Genomic DNA, 4,062 nt, shown 5'->3' with positions numbered 1-4,062 from the left:
TATTATTTCAAGTCCCTTTTCTGTTTGTTTTGTATTTATTTTTTGTTTATTTACTTATTTTTATATTTGAGCCTGATTTGCTAGGGGACACCTTTGTGTGATACATCTCAATGGTCAGCTTAAATTGGACGGACTTTGTGGTTAAATACATTGAGTCAGTAAGACTTCAATTCTGTGTGTAGGTTAGAAAATGCATTTAATATTCGTCAGTTTTCAGATGTTTCCTGACTCTTACTTTTCACCAGAATTTATTGCATATTTTCTGCTTGTTTGTGTAGTGTTTCAGGCAGCCAGAGATGTGCGGATGGCCTGGAACCCTTTCAGTTTCCAGTGCACGTGTGCACAAAAAGCACCTGAAGAGCTATCAAACTTTTGTATGTCAATCTTATTTCCAGAATCTCCTTATGACATTTCTATCTAGCCTGTTAATCCATTGATTTTTTTTTTTCAGTCAGGACCACTTCAAGTTAGCAGAGTTGCTGTCCTGTTATGTTCATTTGCCACTGATTTCACTACTCTTACTGGGTGCTGCTGATGCAGGTTTTTTACCTTCGTTTCCAACTAAAGTGAGCTACACTGATCTTATTTGAAGTTCAGTCATTTTCATGAATAAATCAATTTGTTCTTTGAGGTATTGCTCCTCACAAGAGGGCATTAGCTGTGGGGGTCTGCCCGCAGACCCTGACCCAAATGACGGATGAATAAAACGTACACTGCCACACAGATATTCTGTTTTGCCAGTCCTGCTGAGTGTCCGACCGCCTGCACACCAAGACAGGTTTGTCACTGAGGCCTGCCCTGAGCAGCTTGCATTCCAGGCATTTATTTAGTATACAATAAACAACAGAAGCTTTGAGTAGACATGCTTGAGGATAATTAACATGGGTAAGAGAGGAGTTCTACCAGTGATTAAAGCTCAGGTACCCCAGTTTAACGTAAATATCTTTAGGGGGCAACATCCTTGGTCGACCTCCCCCAGAGAGGGCCATCTGGCTCAAAGGTTAGTCAGTGGAGGTAGGGTAAACAGACTTAACTGGGGAAATCCCTATTGTCCCTAGTATTTACCCTATGACCTAATGCTTTAAGGTAAGAACCGGCTGCCTTCAGCCTGTTCAATTATTACAAGCTATGTAACTTTTCTGCCTTCCAAAAAGGTTTGTGTCTATTCCCTATAACTTTCCCTAATATTTCCCTTTAATATTTCTGCCACCATCCTGAGTGAATCCCAACAGTTCTTTATGGTTGGTCAACTCTGAGAGTTCAGAAATTGTTATTTGTGACATTTTAATCAAGTTCTATAGTTGTTATTTAGAGACAAAGGATTATTTAAACTCAGCCACACTGGGAAGCCCCCTATACCATATAGTTTTTAAATGACTAATTGACTTTAGAGCACTTTGTACATTAGGACTATTACACTTTTGCCTTTGATGTAGTCTACAAAGAGACACATACATATACAACATAGAAAACCTTCCAATGAACTTATTAATGCACTCAAATTTAATAGTCTTTTTATTGTGTCAAGATTTTAAATTATCATTAAGAAACTACTCTCTCATTTAAAAATATAAGAAATGCAAAACAAGCTTTCTATAAGAAATGATATTGCTTCACCTCTTACATTTTGATATTTGTATTTATCATTGTGAATAGTAAGGTGTATGGATATAACAAACGAGCATGAAAATCTAGAAACTGAACAGAAATAAATATGTACAGATTACTTTCCTTCTCTCTTAGGTCTTTTTTTCTTTATTCTCATTCTGCTTTCCTTATTTCTTTTTTCCTATGCTTCTTGTTAGTTCCCTTTTTGTTTCTGAAAGTATTTTTTTGGTGACAAACAAAACTACCATAAAACAAAATAGCTTAAATAAAACTAAGGCAAAATGAAATGTCAAAACATGCTCTATAAATATATTTATGTAGGAAATGTTATACAAAAATCTCATATGTGACTCTTTAGAAGACCGTGTAATCAAGGTCACAAAACTCATCAGTGGGAAAACAGGCTTTGCAACAGTTAACTGTGATTCCACAAAAGTTTCACAAAACCATTGTGTCTTTAGTATAAAAAGCTGATTATCCTAATAGAAAAACGTAAGTTTGAGGTCAAATGCTAACAACATAAAAATAATATTTTTTTATGAATAAAGCATGTTATATTTTACAGTGTCATCTTAGGAAGAGTAGCTCCATCCAATTTAAATATCTTCTTATTATATTGATTTTTCTTTTGCAAAGATACTTATTTTACAAGACTTTGCCACAGTACATTTTACTCTGCAGATTACTCCTTACAGTGATAACAATCAGGTGAGTTTATCTTTTGGTTTTGGAGGCTATTTTACATTTACATTGCCAATTAACACATAACAAAATTGATTTGAAAATGAATTAGGCAAAGGTATATTTATTAAATTTGTTTATTCATTGTTTTTTGCTGGTGAATAAACAAAAGAAGTTGTGGCTAATGATCAAGGAATTTGCTATTGAAAGAAAATCTTTGTATTAGGAGTAAAAGCAACAAAGGAAAAAAATAACAATTTAAGAATTATTCTAAGTGGTTCTTTCTTGCTAGAAAGATACCTGACCTAATTTGTTTTTTCGGTACATCAATCATTTAAAACTTTAATTAGAATACCTAAAGAGCTATGAGCATTTTCAGTTTATTACAACAAAATAAGATTCACAGGATAGCATGTTAATCAGAAAATTCAATTCATAGTTCATAATATTGTATCATTGCCAAATTATCAAGCTGGTACAAAGATGATAAAATACTACCGTGTCTGATAAAACAAAGAATGTTACTTTACTCATCAAAACAAATTAATTTGCTTTAATAATTTTATAAATGCATATGATGATAAGGGAATTTAAAAATACCTAAGGACTTACATTTTATAAATTGTTTCCTATGTGAAAATATGAAATTGGAAAAACACTTTTTAAAAACCAGTGAATTGTTGTCTGTTTTCCTAGTTATTAAAGTTATTTCTTTGGTAAATTAAAATAGGCAATAGGTTACAAAATAACATTTCATAGATATAAAATATTAAGACATGTATTATTTAAGTTTAAAATGTATTTTATAAAAAAAGTATAGATTCCCTTAATACAAAATGGAGTGTAAGCATTTATTAATATATGATGGCATTATATATCATTTTATATTATGTGCATACAGTAGAATTTAGATACATGTATTGCTTGCAAACTTTTGCAAGAATATAAATGTGTAGGTTTTGCTTTTTGATTGGTTGGTTTGATTTGTTTGTTTGTTTTTTAAGACACGGTCTCAGTCTGTTGCCTAGGCTGGAGCGTAGTGGCACTATCATGGCTCACTGTATCCTTTACCTCCTGGGCTCAAGCATTCCTGTCACCTTAGCCTCCAGAGTAGCTGGGACTATAGGTGCACACCAGGAAGACTGGCTATTTTTTCTTTTATTTTTAGTAGAGACAGGGGTCTCACTATGTTACCCAGGCTGTTCTCAGACTCCTGGCCTCAAGCAATCCTCCTGCCTCAGCCTTCTAAACTGCTTGGATTACAGGCACCATGCTCGTCAAATGTATGTTTTTATGGTTTAAGAAAATTAGCCTGCCTGCTAAAATAATTTGCTTCTATTTTGTCTTTGTTTTTGCTGTAAAATCTTTTTAAACATTGTTTCTAGTATTTTTCTAGAAATTGTGTGTATTTATATACACGTACATATATACATATGTATATAATTAATTAATTTACATGCACAAATATGTAAGTATTTATATGTGTAATGTAAGTATTATTTTGTCACCCAGGTACTAAGCCTAATACTCAATAGTTATTTTTCTTCTCCTCTCCCTCATTCTACCCTCCATTCTGAGGTAGAACCCGGCGTTCCTTGTTCTTTTCTTTGTGTTCATGAGTTCTCATCATATAGTTCCCACTTATAACTGAGAACATGTGGTATGCGCTTTTCTGTTCCTGCATTAATTTGCTAAGGATACTGGCCTCCAGCTCCATCTTTGTTCCTGCAAAGGACATGATCTTATTCTTTTTTATGGCTACATAGTATTCCA

The 4,062-nt window shown here is 33.4% G+C and overlaps 1 annotated feature.

Annotated features, from left to right (window-relative positions):
* Positions 702–1,241: an enhancer, noted in NCBI's record as "NANOG hESC enhancer chr4:35191886-35192425 (GRCh37/hg19 assembly coordinates)". NCBI's record gives its function as "activates a minimal SCP1, AML or CMV promoter by ChIP-STARR-seq in naive H9 embryonic stem cells {active_cell/tissue: H9 hESC(naive)}" and the evidence as "EXISTENCE:reporter gene assay evidence [ECO:0000049][PMID:30033119]".

The sequence above is a fragment of the Homo sapiens genome, chromosome 4 (assembly GCF_000001405.40).
Source record: "Homo sapiens chromosome 4, GRCh38.p14 Primary Assembly".
NCBI lineage: Eukaryota > Metazoa > Chordata > Mammalia > Primates > Hominidae > Homo > Homo sapiens.
The sequence above is the reverse complement of the archived record's forward strand: the minus strand, read 5'-3'. Positions and strand labels throughout refer to the sequence as shown.